The sequence below is a fragment of the Homo sapiens genome, chromosome 1 (genome assembly GCF_000001405.40).
Source record: "Homo sapiens chromosome 1, GRCh38.p14 Primary Assembly".
NCBI classification, from domain to species: Eukaryota; Metazoa; Chordata; class Mammalia; order Primates; family Hominidae; genus Homo; species Homo sapiens.
Window position 1 is genome coordinate 52,215,637 of NC_000001.11, and position 21,036 is coordinate 52,236,672.

Here is a 21,036-nt window from a genome sequence, read left to right on the forward strand (position 1 = left end):
TTTATTCTGATTAGCTTCAACTACTAATCTTGTTCAAGGCTAAATTAGGCCCTTAAAGAATTTTACATTGTCTCTAAGCAGTTATAGTTGGGCTACCATAACTTAATGGATATTGTCGTATTTTCACAAGAAGGAAGCAATATTTGAAGAGCCTTTGTCTTTTGCATGCATGCCTGATAGTGAAGGTTAATACTGGGTTAATAGATCCATTGCTTCTAAGCAGTTGGAGGAGGACTGGAATCAAGAGACTCCATTTGGAGAAAAAAAACAGTTTGGCAATAAAAATCACAACTGGAAACTTGTGAAACTCAAGAATTCTACATGTATAGAAAAAAAATCACACTAGAAGGACATTCTTGTGAAGCAGCAGTTTTCTTAGCTTTGGATTCTTGGAGGGCCTATTATAAGGCAAATTATATACTTATGAATTAACACAATTAAAGTCATTGGGTAGAAAGTGCCTGCTGTTGATGTTTCTCACTTTGCATTATCCATTGAAAATAAACGTGCAAAAACTCTTCTTCATTGAAACATTTAACTTTTGGCCTTTCAGACAATAAAATGTCTCTGTTGCTACCTTGTATGCAAGCCAGGTCTTTGAATCCAAAGGTATAATTTTATCTACTGTTTCAGCCCTATTGCTTTCATTTGTCTGGCTATGGTAGATTTATATGAAGAAAATGAGGGCTTATTGTTTCAGCAAGTGTAATGAGCAATGTGTTTTTCCTTTAGGATCAAACAGAGCATACTGAATCAGCAGGACTGGCTGGTGGTGCAGCAGACATCATGAGTAAGCACCGAGAAGTCTGTTCCTTATCACGTGTGTAAGGGGAAAAAGGTAAGAAAATGTTTTTATTTCTCTTAGAGATTGAACTTGAGAAACCAATGAGATCTATAGAAGATAATGCTGATGCATATATGTTACTTGCATCATTTATAACATTGTGTCTTATTAAATCAGGAGTATGCTTTTTTTCAAAAAGATTTGACTTAAATTCAGAGGAAAAGGGTATTTAAAAATCACTGTTATTTTGTGTCACAATGGTCACAATGTTAATTTCCCTCCCAGTGCTGGCTCCTTCGTTTTAGAGTTTGTTGACCATAGAAAGGTAATTTCAGAAAAAATATGGATTTGAGCAATATTTAAGCTCATGCAAGAGCTAAACAAGTAAAGCTAATTTGGTGATGGGGAATCAGAAATGTAAATTTAATTATGTTATTTTATTTTGTATTTTTAGGTAAGTTATTATGTAGAGCAATAATTTCCAGCAGAAAACTGGAAGTATTCTTGTAGAACAGGAATCCTTGTCTTTTTCCTAACTAGGAGTCATGTTGTTTTTTTTCAAGTCTTAAGATTATTTAAGGGTGTGAACCCCCAATATCTGTGTTGGAAACAAGTGCTTGATGTAGCCAAAAGAAACCCGCACTTAGACAGAAATTTTCTCAGCAAGGCACTTTTACTTCTGCAGAAGGGTGCTGCTTGCACCTATTACAAATGCAAGAGCACACCGAACAAAGGAAGGAAGGGGTTTTTAACCCTAACACAGTTCCTGTTTCTGTATCTTTTCCCTATTGGCTAGGGTTGGATTGCACAATCTAAGCTGATCCCAACTAGCCAAGGCTTAAACTTTTCCAAACAGGGTAAATGTGAGATTTGTGAAGGGGCGGGGTGGGTAAAGAAGAAATGGTTAGACTTAACAGAAGCGGGGGTAGGATTGTTTACAACTTATGACCAGGAAGTTGAGTCTTTGAAGAGGAACTCAAGTCGTCCCAACAATTTCCCCTCTTCTGTCTTACAGTTCTTCATCTTCAGATTTCTTTAACAGGATCTGGCTTTGTTGTTCTTCTTGATTATCAAGGTGCGAGAGCTTATCTGAGTACGGAGGGGGAGAGGTTGGGGAGGTTTTTGTGAGAGCTGCTTCTATGAGCCTTTGGGTTAACCCACGAATACAAGGTATGATACAGCAACCGACAAGGATGAGTACATCTTTAACAATTGCAAGGGAAGTAAAGATTGAGGTCATGAGTCCCTTCCATTTTCCAAACCACCTTTCCATTAGGCCTGTAAAGGGGTCGTCTATTCCAGAGTTTTTGGCTAATTGATTTGCTAGGGTGGTAAGGCCTTGTAAGGCTTTTATGATTGTCCCATCAGGGGCTGTATTATTAGGAATAAAAGTACAACACTGGACCGTGATCATGACATAGACTCTGCCTTTTTTGGCCAACACCATGTCAAGGGTTATTCTGTTTTCCCAGACCATCTGGCTGATGGGGCCTAGTTTCAGCGATTCCTTTTATGGCATCTCTGGTATAATTGATGAATTGCTGCTGATTGTAGTATATGTGATTTATCCAGTCTACGTTTTTGTTTATAGTGGACCACCAGAATAAGATAGACTCGAACCTGGCGGCTATTTGGTTTTGAGCTTTGAATTCATTTGGTACCCTCCGCAGGACCCTGATGCTGTCTATGTAAACTTGAGGGTCAAAGGACCCATTTATTGGGGCTTCTTTTTTTCTTCTGGTTACCTGCTTCCTGATGAAATGCCATGGTGAAAGCCATGGCCAGTTGAATCAGAGCACAAGTGCCACTCCAGTTGCTTGGCAGTGTACCAAATATTGGTCCCCCACAATACCACCATACATCCTCTCGGGGATGGACTAGGGCTGACTGATTGGTTATCTCTTGAAAAGGTTTAGGCCCACTACATCCCATCAGGTTTCCAAGGAATGTCAAATTTTCCCCTTGTTGTGAAAGACACAAGGTAAAATTGGCATCGAGAGCTGGAAGTTGAATGGCCCTTGGGGGCTGTCCCATAGGGGTCCTGACCTTTGGGGAAAATAGTGAGTGAGTGGCACATGACATGTTTCCCCAGGCTGTGGGGTGCTGGAAGAGAGCTACCATACAGTCTTTGCCTGATGGATTGGCCCATCCGAGTGGGAGGGGAACAGTTTGGGTTTCTGGCCTGCCTGTTGCACAAGCGTAACAATCTGTTTTATTTAGGGTGCGAATGGAATATTTAATCAATTCCAGCTAGGCATTTACATCTTGATAACTGGTTTCTATGGCTAGGGTTTGCTGTAAATCCTTAACTTCTACTATAGCTACTTTGGTTTTGTCAGTAGGCATGAAGCGAGAAATGGTTTGATTTTTGTGGTTTTGGGAAGCGGGTAATGGGGGGAGATGGAGGAGGAGGAGCAAACCTCATTTCAAAGATGCCTGTAGGGTCTTTTGCAGTGACATCTGCTCCTAGGCCATAAAGGTGCTCTAAAGTGGGGATAGGGTCAGTGGAGGTGGGGATAGGAATAGAGAGAAGTACTGGGTTACACTGGTGGTTTTGGCAATTTGAGGGGGTGGTTCCTTTGGTGAAGTGGAGGTAGGGTTTTAGGGCGGTGCGACCCTCTGAGGAGGTCCAGCCCTGATATTTCGTGGTCCAGATAATATCTCCCCAACTATAACATAACCCCTGGAAGGCTTGTGGTCGTTGATTGCAAGGGTCGGGGGTGGTGCTGGTTTTTCTGGGGATGGGGGGCAGAGGTACTTTTCTGAAGAAGCTAGCTGTCTTTGACTATGGAGGTTTCCACAGGGTATGACAAGACAGGCATCGAATGTAATTGTGGGGAGGGTGATCGGGTTACATTGATAATAAGGTGTCCTTGGGTAGCTAAAGGAAGAATAAAAAGACAGATTAAACCTTTTTGAATGTTAGTTTGGAGGGTATTGATCCTGGAATGATGGTCCATGACTTTGCAATGGTTGCGGCCCCTTTTAGCCCAGTGTGGTGGGTCCATGCTTTTTTGGCCGTTCAGATTGCTGTCTCAGTGGTTAGGAGTATTAGATAAGGAGTATTAGATAAGGTCCTTCCCAGGTTGGTTCAAGCTTTCCTTCTTTCCAACATATGATAAGGACGTGATCTCTGGGCTGGTGTCGGTGAATTGGGAATTCGAGGGGTGGAGTTTGCGCTAGGAGGCCTTGAGTCCTGAGGGAGGAAAGGGTGGAAGACAGACCAAATATATATATTTTTAGAAACTGATCTTTTGTTTCAAATGTGGGAAGGTCAGTAGTGGAATTTAGATAAGGCAGCCCATAGAGCATTTCAGGCCAAGATCTTTTGTGTGTGTGTGTGTGTGTGTGTGTGTGTGTGTGTGTGTGTGTGTGTGTGTGTGGCAGAGTCTTACTCTGTCGCCCGGGCTGGAGTGCAGTGATCTTGGCTCACTGCAACCTGCACCTCCCAGGTTCAAGCAATTCTCCTGCCTTGGCCTCCTGAGTAGCTGGGACTACAGGCACCAGCCACCACGCCCGGCTAATTTTTGTATTTTTAGTAGAGACGGGGTTTCACCATATTGGCCAGGCTGGTCTCGAACTCCTGACCTTGTGATCCACCCTCCTTGGCCTCCCAAAGTGCTGGGATTACAGGTGTGAGCCACCACACCCTGCCAGGCCAAGATCTTTTTGAGGGGCAGTTTGGATTCTTAGTAAGGCAATGGGAAGGCATTTTGTCCATGGTAACTGGATTTCCAAGATTAATTTGGTTAGGTGATTTTTTAGAGTTTGATTAATTCTTTCTACCCTCCCTGATGAAGGTGGATGCCAGGGAGTATGATATTCCCATTTTATTCCTAGTGCTTGGGTTAGCCCCTTAATGATGTGTGCAGTGAAGTGAGTCTCATTGTCTGAATCAGTGTTCTCTATTAGTCCAAACCTGGATATGATATGTTCCAACAGTGCTTTGACTACATTACTGGCAGTTGTGCTTGGGAAGGGTATGGCTTCTACCCAGTGGGTGAGATGGTCTACTATGACTAGTAAATACTTGAGGCAGCCGATTGGGGGCATTTCAGTTTAATCAACTTGGATGCTTTGGAATGGCCTTAACCCTGGGTTTCTTCCCGTGGGAGGCTGCTTCTTTAGGGTTTCCTTACTAGTTTTTCTGCACATGATGCAACCATCTTCCACTTGCCTAGTACTCTATACACCCATAGACTCTGAGGGCTACATTGCACATAGCTTGAGGACCCCAGTGAGTTCCTGGATGAAGCTGTGACAATATTTCCCTCATGAGGGGCTTAGACAGCATTTCCCTTCCATCTGGTAATGCCTGCTTTCCCTCTGGGCTCTCCTGAGCTCCTATTTTCTTTAGAGAAAGGTCTACGTGGGAGAAGATGGGGATCGCAGCTGGAGGGGGAAACAAAGGGATAGATGGAAAATGGGTGCCTTTTCAGAAGAGGCAGCTTGCTTAGCTGTTTGATCTGCAAGGTTATTTCCCTGGCTTTCAAAAGATGGATTCTTTTGGTGTCCTGGGACATGGACAACTGCAATTTCTTCTGGCAGCTGAAGATTTTCTAATACTTGCAAAATTAATTTTTTGTGGACCAAATCTTGGCCCTTACTATTGATGAAGCCTCGTTCAGTCCAGATTTTTCCAAAGGTATGGACTACTCTGAAGGCATACTTGGAGTCAGTGTAAATAGTTCCTTCTTGATTCTGCAGGGATTTTAAGGCTTGGTTTAATGCAAAGAATTCACAGTTTGGGCAGACCAGTTATTTGGCAGTCTTCCTGACTCTACCTCTGTGAGGATTTCCCCATCAACTGTGGAGTACCTGTTGTACCTTTTTCCTTCAATGATCCGGGGGGAACCATCTGTAAAGAGGTGATGCCCTGTTTGGAAAGGGGTTTTGCTTAGATCCAGTCTGACTCTAGTTTGAGAACTGATTAGATCTAAGCATTTATGCGTAGATTCTTCTGGGTTTGGATTTCCTGTTAGGAAAGCAGCGGGGTTGAGTGAATTGTCAGTGGTTAGTGTTAGGTCATCCCTCTCTAATAAGATAACTTCATATTTTAAAATTCTTGAGTCAGTAAGCCATCTCTCTGCCTTCTGATTAAGAATAGTTCTGACTTGATGAGGGGTACTTATGATGAGGTTTCCCCCAAAGGTTATTTTCCTGCTTTCTTCTGTTAGCAAGGCAGTTGCTGCTATGGATTGGACACATTCGGGCCATCCACGGGTTACGGGGTCAAGGATTTTTGACAGGAAGGCTACGGGCCATTGGTGGCCTCCGTGTTTGTGGGTGAGTACTCCTAAGGCCACTCCTTTGCTTATATTAACAAAAAGGTGGAATGGCTGTTCTAAGGAGGGCAAGGCCAGAATGGGGGCTGTTACAAGTAGGTGTTTTATTTCTTCTACCTGTTGGATCTCTGATGGGGTCCAGAGGAGGGTTTACAGGGTCTGGTCTTTCTTGAGTGAGTTTTTGATATAGGGGCTTTGTTTTTAAGGCATAAGAGTTAATCCACAGATGACAATATCCAACCAATCCTGAGAATTTCCTAAGTTCCTGCTTTGTTTCAGGTAAAGGCAAAGATACCATACCTTCAATTTGTTTGGGTCCTATCTTTCGTTTGCCTTTACTGATTAGGTGTCCTAGGTATTTCACCTCAGGTTCTACGAATTGGAGTTTATTCTTTGAGACCTGTAACCCTTGTTCCCTTAGGAAATTTAGGAAGTTAACTGAAATTGCTGTTACTTGATCCTTGTTATCTCCTGAGATGAGCAGGTCATCCACATATTGGAGAAGGCATATGGATGAAGGCAGGGAGAAATTTTCTAGAACTTGTTCTAATATTTGACCAAATAGATCTGGGGACTCTGTGAACCCTTGGGGCAAGACTGTCCATCAGTACTGTTGTTTTCTATCAGAGTCAGGGTCCTCCTACTCAAAGGCAAACATGTCCCGACTATCTTCTGCTGAAGGGCAAGCCCAAAAGGCATCTTTTAAATCTATCACCATGAACCATTGGTGGTTGTATGGGATTCTACTGACAATGGTGTAAGGATTGGGAACAACAGGGTGGGCGGTTTGAACTATTTGATTAATAGCCTGGAGGTCTTGCACTAGCCGGGATGACCTGTCTGGCTTCCTTACAGGCAATATTGGAGTGTTATAAGGGGGCATACAGGGTTCAAGGAGTCCATCGTGGACAAGGCTTTCAATTATATGTTTTAAACCTATCCTGGCTTCCAAGGGAATAGGGTATTGTTTTGTTTTTACTGCTTCCCTGGTAGTTTTTAATTTGGCATGGATTGGAGGAACCTGTAGCTTTCCTCGATTTCCTTCCTTTGACCATATGTCGGGATGGATTTGGCTTTCTTCCGAAGTGGTGACCAGGTTTAAGGAAGTAAGTTTTCCCTGATTAACGTATAGGCCTATGCCTAACCTTAACATTAAGTCCCTTCCTAATAAATTAGTTCCTGCTTTGGGAATTAATAAGAACTTAGTAGTGGCCGACTTATTCTTATATTTGACTTTGGTTTCCTCTAGAATTTTTGCCCTGAATCCTTCCCCTATAAACCCTGAGACAGTATGGTTTTCTGCTGAAAATGCTAAGCCTGATGGGAGAAAACATAGGGAAAGCGAGCTGCTCCTGAATCGACTAAGAAAGTGACTATCTCTGATTTGGGTCCCACCATTAAATTTATCAGGGGCTCTTGGTGGGACTCAAGATGGAAGATGTAGAGTACCTGACCCCGCTATTCTTCTTCAAATGTCATGAGTGGAAGGACTTTCTTTTCCCTCTCCCATTCAGGACATTCCCTCTTAAAATGTCCTGGCTTTCCACACTAGAAACATCTGTTTTCCCTTCTCCCCCTCCCTGTTCCCTGACTCTCAGGTTTCATCCCTTTGCTTCCTGTATAGGGGTCAGACAGCCAGGTGCTTAGAAGGTCTACAAGTTCTATTCTCCTGGGCTCCCTGTTGAAGAGTTCCCTGTTGTAGGGTGGACAGGCATAATCTTTGCCTTTTGCTTCTGCCTTTCCTCATCCCTCTCTACATACACCTTTTGGGCCTCTTAAAAGTTCCTCTATGGGATGGTCTTTCCAATTTTCTATCTTTTGTATTTTTTTTGTAATGTCTGGCCAACTATTGGTGACAAAGTGGAGCTTTAACATTCCTTGTCCCAGTGGGTCCTCTATGTCTAAACCTGCATATTTTCTTATCTGTTCCTTAAGTCTAAGAATTCTATGGGCCTTTCATCTTTCCCTTGTTGTACATTAAATGCTCAGGAAACATTAGGGTTCAAGGAGCTGATTCCCAAATCCCTTTAATTATCATGTCCCTGAGATCTCTCATGTTTTCTCAGTGGGCTTCATTATTGTTATCCCACTGAGGGTCCTGGGCCAGGAATTTATGCTCTGCTGCAAGGACATTTTGAACAGGAGGGTGTTTGCGCTCCCAGACTATCATGGCAGCCCTGAAGATCATGGTTCTTTCCTTTCCTGAGAAGAGAATAACTAGGATAGACATTAATTCAGCCCAAGTGTACAGTTGTGGCTCCAGAGACTGTCCAGTTTGATCTGCGATTCCAAAAGGGTCGTCTAACAGTGGTTTGAGTTCCTTTTTTAGATTTCTAACCTCTGAACTAGTTAAGGGGGCATTTACAAAGCCAATATCCCCTCCTCCTAGTGGTACTTCCCTTAAGGGAAAAAGGGTTGGGGTAGACTTCTTTGAGGAAGGGAGGAAAGGAAAGTTTTGGATATCCCTTTGGCATTGTCTATTTCCCATTGGAGCTTTCCTGAGGAAGGGGCATGTTCAGGTGGCTGTCCAGCGGGGATGTGGGGTGGCATGGCCCATGGGGCAGGGTTATATGGGAGAGGAACTGAGTGTTCAGCTTGGGGTGGAGGGGTAGGGAGGGGAAGGACTGAGTGTTCCACTTAGGGTGGAGGGGTAGGCAGGGGAAGGTGGTCTAGAGGATCCCATGCATCTTTAGATACAGAATTTGACTTAGGTAGGTCGTCTTTGGGAGGTATTGAATTTGGCTTTGCTTTCTCATCCTTTAGGGGATAGAGAAGGACAGGTCTTTTTCTCCAACATAGAGCATCATCTGTCTCCTCTTGAGAAACTGGACTTTTATCATTGACTTACTGGATCAGGAGTTGACATATCCAGTCCTCATTTTACCCAAACTCTGGCCAAAAGACTGAAGGTCTGAGGGTGGGTTCCTTAGTCCAAATAAAAACAGCAATACTTTATCATACGCTGTCTTTTCTTGTGTTTTGTCCTTTCATTATCCTTCCAGTATTTTAACATAAGGCATAGGGGACTGTCAGGGGGAATTTTATTGTCTGCTTGGCCTTTTATAGTCCCTGTCTTACTTGGGGTATTTCCCATCCTGGCGGTTGGTGAGGCTAAATGTCTCGTATTAGAGATTTCTTGCACTCCCGTGTCCTAGAGGCTGAACCTCCCCTTTTCCCACTGGAGGTTTCTTGCACTCTTGTGAGCACCCACTTTGTCCTTATTGGCTGCTTCCCTCGTGAGAATTTTAGGTTCCTCTTAGTATTGGTGGGTTGGTGTAATCCCCTGACTGGAAAACTGCCCTAAGACCTACAAGGTGACCACAGAACCGAGTCCGGACTCCACACTCGCTTCGCACCCAATGGCGTGTCTCACTCACACACTTTCAACCTACAGAGATCCCAACCACCAAGGAATACTTTGTTGCCCCAATAGTGACGTTTCTTACCTTGGTCTATGCACAGAGTTATCTGGTCACTGAGGAATTCTTAGGGATCCTCCCTATAGCCCATGTTGCTGAGAGTCCGGATTTATTCGTCACTTTGGGCGAGATTCGATCCTCCACTCCTGGGGCCACCACAACGAGGCAGTGGGATGCGTCTCCCCATGAAAGATAATCACTAGCCCCTCCCAAAGGAGAATGGGATCCTGGACAAGCCCCCAGATTTGTTGGAAACAAGTGCTCAGTGTAGTGAAAAGAAACCCGCATTTAGAAGTTTTCTCAGCAAGGAACTTTACTTCTGCCGAAGGGTGCTGCTTATGCCTGTTACAAATACAAGAGCACACCAAACGAAGGAAGGGGTTTTTAACCCTAACACAGTTCCTGTTTCTGTGTCTTTCCCATGTTGGATGGGTCGGACTGCACAATCTAAGCTGATCCCGATTGGCCAAGGCTTAAACTTTTCCAAATAGGGTAAAAGTGTGATTTGTGAAGGGGTGGCGGTAAAGAAGAAACAGTTAGGCTTAACAGAAGAAGGGGTAGGATTGTTTACAACTTATGACCAGGAAGTTGAGTCTTTGAAGAGGAACTAAATTGTCCCAACATCTGGGACAGGTCTCAGTTTATTTAGAAAGTTTATTTTGCCAAGGTTGAGGACACCCAAGAGGTCCTGATGAAGCAACTGTGTTGTCTGAGGTATACACCCAAGGTTCATCGTCTTGTGCCAGGAAAATTTAGGACACCGACACACACGAGGAGTTTAGGAGCAGAGGTTTAATAAACAGAAGAAAGGAGAAAGAAAAACAGCTCTCTCTATTGAGAGAGACGGGTCTTCCGAGGGAAAAGACTGGCAGGTGGTGGATGCGCCGGATTTTATAGTCCAGCTTGAGGAGGCGGTGTCTGATTTATGTAGAGCTCACAGATTGGTTCGATCAGGTATGAAGTTTACATAGCATGCAGGGAAGGCTGGTTGCCCCACCCTAATCTTATTATGCAAACGAACTTTCTCCTTGGCAGGTGCCATCTTATCTGCTCCTTACTGTACATGTGGCTGGCAGAGAAGGGAAGATGGAGCCTCCATCTTGAGCATGTCTAGTCCCTAGTTCCTGCTGGCATTCACCCGTGCAAGCTCCCAGCTTCCTTGTCTGTGTCTGCAGCTCGACTTCACAGACTGCTCTTTGTTAGAAAATGATTTCCAGCCTGGCCAACGTGGTGAAACCCCATCTCTACTAAAAATACAAAAATTAGCCGGGCATGGTGGCACAAGCCTGTAATCCCAGCTACTCGGGAGGCTGAGGCAGGAGAATCGCTTGAACCCAGGAGGCAGAGGTTGCAGTGAGCCGAGATCATGCCACTGCACTCCAGCCTGGGTAGCAGAGTGAGACTCTGTCTCAAAAAGAAAAAAGAAAATGATTTGGGGCTACTTTTCATTAAAAAGAAAAGCCTTACTGAGGACTCTCGTACCCTTACTATCTGCCTAAGTGATTTCTTCTTAACTCCTGTATCACTGACAACACGTGCCCAGGGTTCTCAGAGCACAACTTGGTTTTATACATTTTAGGGAGACATGAGACATCAATCAACATATGTAAGATGAACATTGGTTCTGTCCGGAAAGGCGGGACAATTCAAAGCAAAGGCAGGACTACTGGAAGCAGGGAGTGGGCTTCCAGATCATAGGTAGATAAAAGACAAATGATTGCATTCTTTTGAATTTCTGATTAGCCTCTCCAAAGGAGGCAACAGATGTGCATTTATCTCATTGAGCAGAAGGGTAACTTTGAATAGAATGGGAGGGATGTTTGCCCTAAGCAGTTCCCAGCTTGACTTTTCCCTTTAGCTTAGTGATTTTGGGGCCCCAAGATTTTCCTTTCAGAAGGGGTAGAAAATGGTGGAGGGTATATAGGTGAGAAAGGTTACAAAAACTGATTACACTACTCACTAATGGAATGTTGCATACTCTGGTTGAGTTATCTGACTTTTCCATGTAAGCTGTAAGGAAAGGCATGGTGGGACCAGCAGTGTTTAATAGGAAACTGAGCCACTTTTCTCTTCAGTTGAGGGTGGAGCAGAGGTACTTGGCAGCAATGCCTTCTTCACCAAAACTCTGAGTCTGCAGTTGGCAAGCTATTTCTCCTCCTTTAGCCTTTTCACATGGGAGTGTGAGAAGATAGTGCCCTCTTTTCTGCCTTCACTTGCCAAAATCTCATCCTTCAGGCGTTGCCTAAGGAAGTTTCCACCCATTGTAGCAAAAACTATCAGTTATCCACCAAAGTCACCAAAATCCATTTTTCCCTTCTGTAGTAGCCACAGCTGTGATGTCACAGTCCAATCAGCCTTTGCAGCTGTGTATTCACCATCACAGTTAAGATACAGCATAATTCTATCACCACAGAGATCCTTATTGCTACTCCTTTGTAGTTGCATGTACCCTCTCCCCTGACTATCCAATATTTAATGACTTTTTAAAGTTAAAAACACTGTTAAAACTCATAGGAAGAGCTGGGTTAGCATAAAGGCAAACCCTAGTATGTTCCTGGATGAGAAGACTTAATATCATTCTTTCTCCTGAGTGAGGACTAGGTTAGGAATTCTAATTTCTCATGGTTTATTTTATTGGCACTCTATTCCATCCTGCTCCATTGCTGAGTCTTGGGACCATGGAGGGGACTTTTTCTGTAGCTCCTGGCTTCATGTAGAAAGCTCAGTTTAGCCCCTCTGGTGCATAAATTTCTATGTTTGCAGCCAGTAATTCTTATTCTTCCTGCTACCTTTCAAAACCCAGGCTTAAAGGTTGCTGTCTAGTTTTGATACTCCTATGGACTGCCACTCTTCAGTTCCTGCTTTCCTTCTAGGTTTATGGCATCTGTGTATTTCCCTTTCTTGCTTTTGAATTTGACTGTTTAAACTCTTTTAAAATATTTTATTTAGAATTTTTTTATTTATTTATTTTTGAGACAGGGTCTCACTCTGTTGCTGAGGCTAGAGTGCAGTGCCACCATCATGGCCCACTGCAACCTCCGTCTCCTGAGCTGAAGCAATCTTCCTGCCTCAGCCTCATGAGTAGCTGGGATTACAGGCATGTGTCACCACACCCAGCGAATTTTTAAAATTTTCTGTAGATACGGAGTCTCACTATGTTGTCCAGGCTGATCTCAAACTCTTGGCCTCAAGCGATCTCACACCTTGGCCTCCCAAAGTGCTAAACTCTTTAAAATAATTAGTTTTGTCTAGAATTTTTTTATTTAGAGTAGGAAGGAATGTTTACCACCCATCAGCTCAGTGTGCCCTTTTTTCTTTTAAGAAATCTTAAGCCTGCAGAAAAATGGAAAGACTAGAACAATTAAGACCCATATATCCTTCAGCTAGAGTTATCAGTTTTTACCATTTTGTCCCTTTTGCACACCTTTCTTCCCTTCCCACACATATACTCTCACATCATTTAAAAGTTAGTTGCAGACAACACAACACTTCTTCCCTAAACACTTCAGCAGGCATCTCCTAAGAGAACAAGTAAGGGCATTCCCCTACAAAATCAGAATGCCATTATCACATCTAAGAAAATGATAATTAATTCAATGTGTCACCCAATGTATCGTCCATATCCAAATTTCTTCTGAGATTGTTCTCAAAATGTTAATTTATGCTGTGTGTGTGTATATGTGTGTTTTCTTGATCCAGAATCAAGTCAGTGCCTGACACTTGGTTATTTAATATTTTGTCTGTTCTAGTTGAGAATAATCTTTTTTCCTTTTTTTTTTTTTAAAGACGAGGTCTTGCTCTGTCACCTAGGCTAGAATGCAGTGGTGCAGTCATAGCTCACTGTAACCTCGAACTCCTGGGCTTAAGCGATTCTCCTACCTCAACCTCTTGAGTAGCTGCACCACCACACCTGGCTAATTTTTATTTTTATTTTTGTTGATGTTGCCCAGGCTGCTCTTGAACTTCTGGGCTCAAGCGATCCAATCCTCCACCTCAGCCTACCAAAGTACTGGGATTACAGATGTGAGCCACTGCGCCTAGCCACATATAATATTTTGGAAAGTTCAGATCAGATACAGAATGTCTCACATTCTAGATTTGTCTTATTGTCTCCTCATGATTAAATCGGCTAAATGTTTTGGCAAGAATACTGTATAGGTGATGTTTTATATTTTTCATTGCATCATATTGGAAAGTGCATAATGTCAGCTTGTTAAACTGTTGTGGTGGTACTGAGTTAAATCATTTGGCTAAGGTGATGATTTCTATATCTCTTCATTGTAAACATACATTTCCTTCTTTGAAATTAGTGATTTACCTGTGGAATGATAATGTGAGGTACTGTGAATAGTTTCTTCCCCAATAATAATTTACTTAATAGTTTAGCATCCATTTTTGATGCTTGTTTGAATCAGTTATCGTAACTGGAATTCAGTACAACTTATTGACCAGCTGCTTATACACTGTTCATTTATTCATTCTGCAGTTATTAATTGAAATAGATACCACATTAGCACATCAGGCTCTATGTGAATCACCAGGAATACATGGTGAACACAGTCTGGTGGGTGCCCTTGTGGTGCCTACAGTCTGGTGGGAGAGATTGACAAATAATCACACTGATGTGTATTTATAGATGGTGATAAATATTTTAAGGACCAAGAATGGGGTGCCATGAGGGATTGTTGTTGTAGAAAAAGCGGGTTCTTGTCAAACAACCAGGAAAGATTAGGCTCACAGACACTTTTTTTTTTTTTTTTGGAGACGGAGTCTCGCTCTGTCGCCCAGGCTGGAGTGCAGTGGTGTGATCTCGGCTCACTGCAAGCTCCGCCTCCCAGGTTCACGCCATTCTCCTGCCTCAGCTTCCTGAGTAGCTGGGACTACAGGCGCTTGCCACCACGTCCAGCTAATTTTTTTGTATTTTTAGTAGAGACGGGGTTTCACCGTGTTAGCCAGGATGGTCTCCATCTCCTGACCTCGTGATCTGCCTGCCTTGGCCTCCCAAAGTGCTGGGATTACAGGCGTGAGCCTCCGCGCCCTGCCTAGGCTCACAGACACTTTGAAGGGTGAGGGGGAAGGCAAAAAGGAAAAAACTCAGCAAAGCGAGAGGGGTTCCTGTTAACAGGCTCCCATCTCACAGATTGAATCCCATGTTACCACACAGGAACAGGAGAGGCAAACGGAGTGAACTTCCCAAGGCCCCACCCCGTCCTCCCAGTGTGCAGTGCGCAGGTGGGCATCCAGAAAGAATCAGTCAAACAGGGAGGTGAACAACACACACCAGGGCCTGTTGCGGGGGTGGGGATCGTACTTAGAGGATGAGTCAGTAGGTGCAGCAGACCACCACAGCACACATATACCTATGTAATCTGCATGTTCTGCACATGTATCCTGGAACTTAAAAAAAAAAAAAAAAAGAATCAGTTGGAAAAGGGCAGGCTTCATCCAGGATGGGCAATTTGGTTTTTCAGCCCTCATGCTGTTTTAAACTTGAAGGTGGGGTTTTGCTGGGGTACCCTTGGCTGCCTCCTGTCTCTATCTGTCCCCTTATAAGGGGAGCCATCACCTTTTCTGGGGGTTCACATAACACTTGCCTTTGAAAGTGATATTTGAGCAAAGAGATCAAATGAAGAATGATGAACTTAAATAACCTCTTGAACTTCTGTACTAGTTATTCTGTAGCACTTATCTGTTAATTTTATCTGACAGGTTAATCACTTGCTGTCTCCTGTGCTGTTATTAAAATCATTTATTATTTAAATTTTCTTACTTAGCCTTGTTTACTGTTGACTAAATTATAAGCTTTATAATGTTAGGGATGATATCTGAGACTTGATTACAGTATAGATGCATATAGTAGATGCAGTAGGTAAATATGTTAATCTGATTATTTGTTTACTAATATTTTTATAATGACCATAAAATGCTGTTAAATATTGTAGGTGTATATTGAATGTGTCAGATTGTGTGTTGTGAGAAATTTCATTTGCTCTTAGCATTAGTAGACATTAAATGTGCAACCTATCTGAAATGGCATGCATATAAAAATGATTTTGACCTATAAATAATTAGACAACAAAGATAGATATTTAAAAAAATTCATAGATTATGGGCTGGGTGTGGTGGCTCATGCGTGTAATCCCAGCACTTTGGAAGGCTGAGGTGGGCAGATCACTTGAGGTCAGGAGTTTGAGACCAGCCTGGCCAACATGGTGAAACCCTGTCTCTACTAAAAATACAAAAATTAGCCAGGCATGGTGGCACACACCTGTAGCCCCAGCTACTCTGGAGGGTGAGGCAGGAGAATCGCTTGAATCCAGGAGGGGGAGGTTGCAGTGAGCTGAGATTGAGCCACTGCACTCCAGCCTGGGTGACAGAGTGAGACTCCATCTCCAAAAAAAATAATTCACAGATTATGTAGCTTATTTGCCTACCTAAACTTAAGTAACCTAATAGGAGCCAATCTATAAATGTTAACCAAGTTAATAATCATGGGAAAATACTCTTTCTTTTTTTGAGATGGAGCTTCACACTTGTTGCCCAGGCTGGAGTGCAGTGGTGCAATCTCGGCTCACTGCAACCTCCACCTCCCGGGTTCAAGTGATTCTCCCTCCTCAGCCTCCTGAGTAGCTGGGACTACAGGCACACGCTACCACTCCTGCCTAATTTTTTGTGTATTTTTACTAGAGACGAGGTTTCACCACGTTGGCCAGGCTGGTCTCAAACTCCTGACCTCAGGTGATCTACCCACGTTGGCCTTGCAAAGTGCTGGAATTACAGGCATGAGCCACGACGCCTGGCCGGGAAATACTTGAATAAGTCAGTTAAATTCCCTGAGCTTGTTTTCTTATTTGTAAAATGAGGGAAATATCATTGACACTTATATACCTCAGAGAAGAAGAAACACTACCTTAGTAAGTCAAAGAAATTTCATCACTTATTATATTTGACTTAAAGTTTACAAAGACAGCCTATTACATTTCTGATTTTCTCTGTTTTTCATGTTTTCCTTACTCAGACTTTTTGGGGAATTTGTAATTTGACCTCCCCTGCCTGTATTATATCAATAAGAAGCCAAGCAGAATTTTCAGTTTGGAAAGAAAAATTTGAAACACTAAGGAAATAGGTGTGGAGATCATGGTAATGGATGGAAAAAAGGAGATAATAGGTAGCATTTACTTAACACCTATTATGTGCCCTTAGCATCTGTTAAGTCATTGACATACCTAGTGTATATGCCCAAGGATGCTTTTGGATCGATTAACATTAAAGAAATGGTTTAGAAATGGTACTCGAAGAGGGTTACAAGAATAACCAGGTCAGGGCCAAGTGCATGGCTCATGCCTGTAATCCCAGCACTTTGGGAGACTGAGGTGGGCGGATCACTTGAGGTCAGGAGTTTGAGACCAGCCTGGCCAACATGGTGAAACCCTGTCTCTACTAAAAATACAAAATTAGCTGGACATGGTGGTGCTTGCCTGTAATCCCAGCTACTTGGGAGGCTAAAGCAGGAGAATCGCTTGAACTCGGGAGGCAGAGGTTGCAGTGAGCCAAGATGGAGCCATTGCACTCCAGCCTAGGCAACAAGAGTGAGACTCTGTCTCAAAAAAAAAAAAAAAAAAAAAAAAAAGGAATAACCAGGTCAGAGTCATCATTAGCATTTTGGAACTAGTATCCGTTACTCCTGTACTTAAACTTCCCTGTCATTTCCCATTTGAAAAAAATTCTGTAAGCTTCGTTCTTTAATAGAAACACAATTTTATACCAAACAATGATTCCTTTCCCAGCATCTGAAATGTGTCTGTTGAAGCATGAAATGATCACCAAGTCAGCCTTTTATATTTAGTTATATTTTGTTGATTGTCAGCTTACAGGTTTTTAGAATTTATTAGCTTAAAGATCTTATAATATATCCAGTGGGATGCCAGGTTTTGTAGTTTACCATTATCTGGAAAGATTTATAAGAGATTTTATCCTTGTGTATATACTTAAGATTTATAAATTATATTTTAATAATTCAAAATGTAATACGCATTTACTTTTTAGGTTTAAACAAGTCTCTTAAGTGGTGTTTCCTCACCGATGGAGAATTACTTCCAAGCAGAAGCTTACAACCTGGACAAGGTGTTAGATGAATTTGAACAAAACGAAGGTGAGAATTTATATTGGTGAATCTGTTTGCCTATGTGGTATAGAGAATGTGGGGATATAAGAGGATGTAGTATTTAAAAAAATAAAATCAGGTCTGATGACTTAATGATAGTAATATTATTTAATAATATACAGGGGAAGAAATAACATTTTTTAGCACTAAATGCCAGATACTTAAAATCCCACAGATCTTATTGCCATTTTATAGATGAGAATAGAGGCACAGAGAGGTTAAGCACTTTTCTCAGAGTTATCTTGTGAACAAGTGGCAGGATTAGAATCCAGGCAGTGTGACACTAGAGCCTGAGCTTTACTGAACTACCCTATACAATGAATGTATGGTCAAGAAATGTGCTTGCATTTCCTAAACTAAGAAAAATAGCTCGTTCTATATTGATTGCCCAATAAAGTAAAGATACATTTAAAACTATTTACATCACAACTGCCTAAGTGGTTAATTATATATTCTCAAGCATCAGTAGAAATGTCCACTTAAGATTCACTTCTTTTGTTTGTTTGTTGGTTGGTTGGTTTTTTGAGAAAGTCTTGCTCTGTCTCCCAAGCTGGAGTGCAGTGCTCACTGGAACCTCTGCCTCCCTGGCTGAAGTGATTCCCATGCCTCAGCTTCCAGAGTAGCTGGGATTCCATACACCCGCCACCATGCCTGGCTAATTTTTGTATTTTTAGTACAGAAGGGGTTTCGCCTTGTTGGCCAGGCTGGTCTTAAACTCCTGGTGTCAAGCAGTCCTCCCTCCTCAGCCGCCCAAAGTGCTGGGATTATAGGCATGAGCCACCACGCCTGGCCAAGATTCACTTCTATTTAGGGAAGACTTTTCTCTAAATTTCCATCTTGGTTTAACTTGAGTGGGTAAGCCATAATTAAATTTCTTCCTCCTCACCGTTCTTCCCCTGTGTTCTCTATTTCTAACAGGAAATGGCATTAACAAGTTTACAAAGTGGTATATTTCCATCCAAAGTCCATGATTCCAGTCCAGGCAACATGATGAAACCCCGTCTCTACAGAAAATACAAAAAAAATTAGCCAGGCCTGGTGGCACACCTGTGGTCCCAGCTATTTGGGAGGCAAAGGAGGGAGAATCACTTGAGCCCTAGAGATAGAGGCTGCAGTGAGCTGTGATCATGCCACTGTATTCCAGCCCAGATGACAGAGTGAGACCCTGTCTTAAAAAATAATAAAGCCCATGATTTCCATATTGGTTTACAAACCTTTGCTATATTCAGTGAATCGGGCTATTCTTTGATAGCAGTTGGGAAGACAGATTAGTTTTGACTTTGTTACTTTAGATATTTAATGCTCTCCAGCCTTAAATTGAATATGGAATCATGACAGGAAGGAAGAGAGAGAGGAAGGCTACCAGAGTGGCCTGCTTTTCTCATATTTTACCATTGATGACCTAACACTAACCTATATTCCTAGGCTCATTCCTGGTTCATGTAAATGTGAAATCTAATCATTGGGGTTTTACATCATCCAGGTGGGCTTTGTACATACCAGGCTGGAAGGTATATTATTTTCTGAGTTTCAACTGTTTGTATAAGTATTTTCTTAATCTTTTATTTGATTTAGCCCTCTGTGTATCACAGTTCTTTGAGTCATAAGGTACTTAGACATGTATTACACCTAATCATGTGAATACTATGCTTCTAGAATACCACTGACTCTAATAAAACTCTTAGTTCATTACATTTGTCTCTTTGTGACTTCTGTAGATTCTATTAGGGTGCTTTGTGTATAGTTGTTTTCAATACATTTTTGTTGAATCAGTAAAAATATTTTAGTTAAAAAATAGAGCAATTGCTTACAGAATAATAACTCCTTTAGAAGGAGAAGGATTTCTGAAACCAGCTTCTTGGTTGTAACTTTGTGGTTCATTTGTTTGAACTATTTTTTTGAATCTCACTACCAGTTGCATTAAAAACTATCACTTCAAGCCTCGTGTTATCTTAGAGAATATACTTAAAATGATTTCTCATTTTGTGTTAATTTATTTTCTCATTTAAATGAAAAAATATACCACAGACTGTGATGACACTGGGCAATCAACATTATGCCCAGGTAGGAGGCAGTTGAATAATGAAAATTTTAATACCCGATCATTTCTGTTTGAACATTGCTAAATATTCTTGTAAGAAGCTGTAACTATTTTTTTGTTTCCAGGAACCATATTGGAAATATGACTTATTTGCTTTTTTTTCTTTTAAGGAATCCTGTGTTACTAAATTTCAAATCTCTACTGGTTCAAATTTGGTAAATTCAGGATTTGACATTTCAGAGGATACTAAGCCCATTCTTCACACAATCTGAGTTTTGTGCCCTTTTTAACAACTTTTCACTACTTCTTTACACTAATTCTTTTCTCAACCCAAACTGATTTACTTATTGCTTCCTTAAATTCTTATATTTGGGGATATGCTTTTCTTTATTCCTCTATTTATTAATGCTTTCTTTTCCAAACTTACATAAAACTGTCTTTGAAGCATAGCCCAGTTCTTCTTGCCTTCATGAATTCAAGCTCGCTTACCTCATCCTGGAAAATATCTGTCTCCTCTGAATTTATTTTTCTACTCCTACATAATAGTTTTCAGACACTGAGTCCTCACTTGATGTCTTTGATAAGTTCTTGGAAACTGTGACTTTAAGCAAATTGATACACTGTATGCCGGAGAACCTTAACTGTTGTTTATATCAATTAGCTTATAGTAAAATTGGCTTCTTTATACAGTGAGTTGTTTTGCTTATAATTGCAGTTTCCAAGAACCTATCAACAATGTTAAGTGAGGACTTACTGTACCTATGCTACTCCATACTGCTAATTAGATGTTTGTACGTGTCTCTTATTCTCCCAATGAGATTATATACTTCTTAGAGGCAAGAGCTATCATTTAATCTTCATGTTCCTCAATCCTGCTGCTTTTACTATGGTAGATATTCACTTATATATTTACTGTGTATGTTCTACCTATCAGGCACTATGCAAAGTGAGGACTTATATTGATAGAAATGATTTCTGCCTTCAGAAATCATTCAGTGGTTGAAAGAGAAGGGTAGATAAACTATTGCATTTCAGTGTAGTAAATGCCTTAATAAAGTTTTGATTAAGGTGCTGTGGACACATTGAAGATTAATGTTACAGATGAGGATTGAGCTTACAAATATATCTGCATAATTTCAGGACCATGATTATCAGAGATACTGGAGGAAGAAAGCAAGAAAGGCACTGAGTGCATTGTTCCTTATTTCTCTAATTTACTTAGACATATGCAGTAGCCCTATAACTTGAGAGAATAACTTAGCCATTGTAGTTATGATCTGTTAAAAAGTAAACAGAAACATTATATGAAATTATGCTTATTGGTAGACTATAAGAATGTTGAT

General features: G+C 41.7%; 1 protein-coding gene across 5 annotated transcripts in view, besides 2 other annotated features; it reads left to right on the plus strand.

The window, feature by feature from the left end:
* ZFYVE9 (zinc finger FYVE-type containing 9) overlaps positions 1-21,036 on the plus strand; it is a 204,546-nt gene that overhangs the window by 73,548 nt on the left and 109,962 nt on the right. For all 5 annotated transcript variants that reach the window (NM_004799.4, NM_007324.5, XM_047434682.1 and 2 more), the window contains exons 2-3: positions 733-838; positions 17,535-17,640. In NM_004799.4, the coding sequence (NP_004790.2) occupies positions 17,571-17,640 (70 nt within the window). In that variant the 5' untranslated portion in view covers positions 733-838; positions 17,535-17,570. The remainder of the gene's footprint in view (positions 1-732; positions 839-17,534; positions 17,641-21,036) is intronic.
* Positions 1,327-1,527: a silencer, noted in NCBI's record as "peak226 fragment used in MPRA reporter construct". NCBI's record gives its function as "represses an SCP1 promoter by STARR-seq MPRAs in K562 erythroleukemia cells {active_cell/tissue: K562}" and the evidence as "EXISTENCE:reporter gene assay evidence [ECO:0000049][PMID:32103011]".
* Positions 2,481-2,653: a silencer, noted in NCBI's record as "fragment chr1:52683789-52683961 (GRCh37/hg19 assembly coordinates)". NCBI's record gives its function as "represses an EF-1alpha promoter that drives an FKBP-Casp9 reporter gene in an ReSE screen in K562 erythroleukemia cells {active_cell/tissue: K562}" and the evidence as "EXISTENCE:reporter gene assay evidence [ECO:0000049][PMID:32094911]".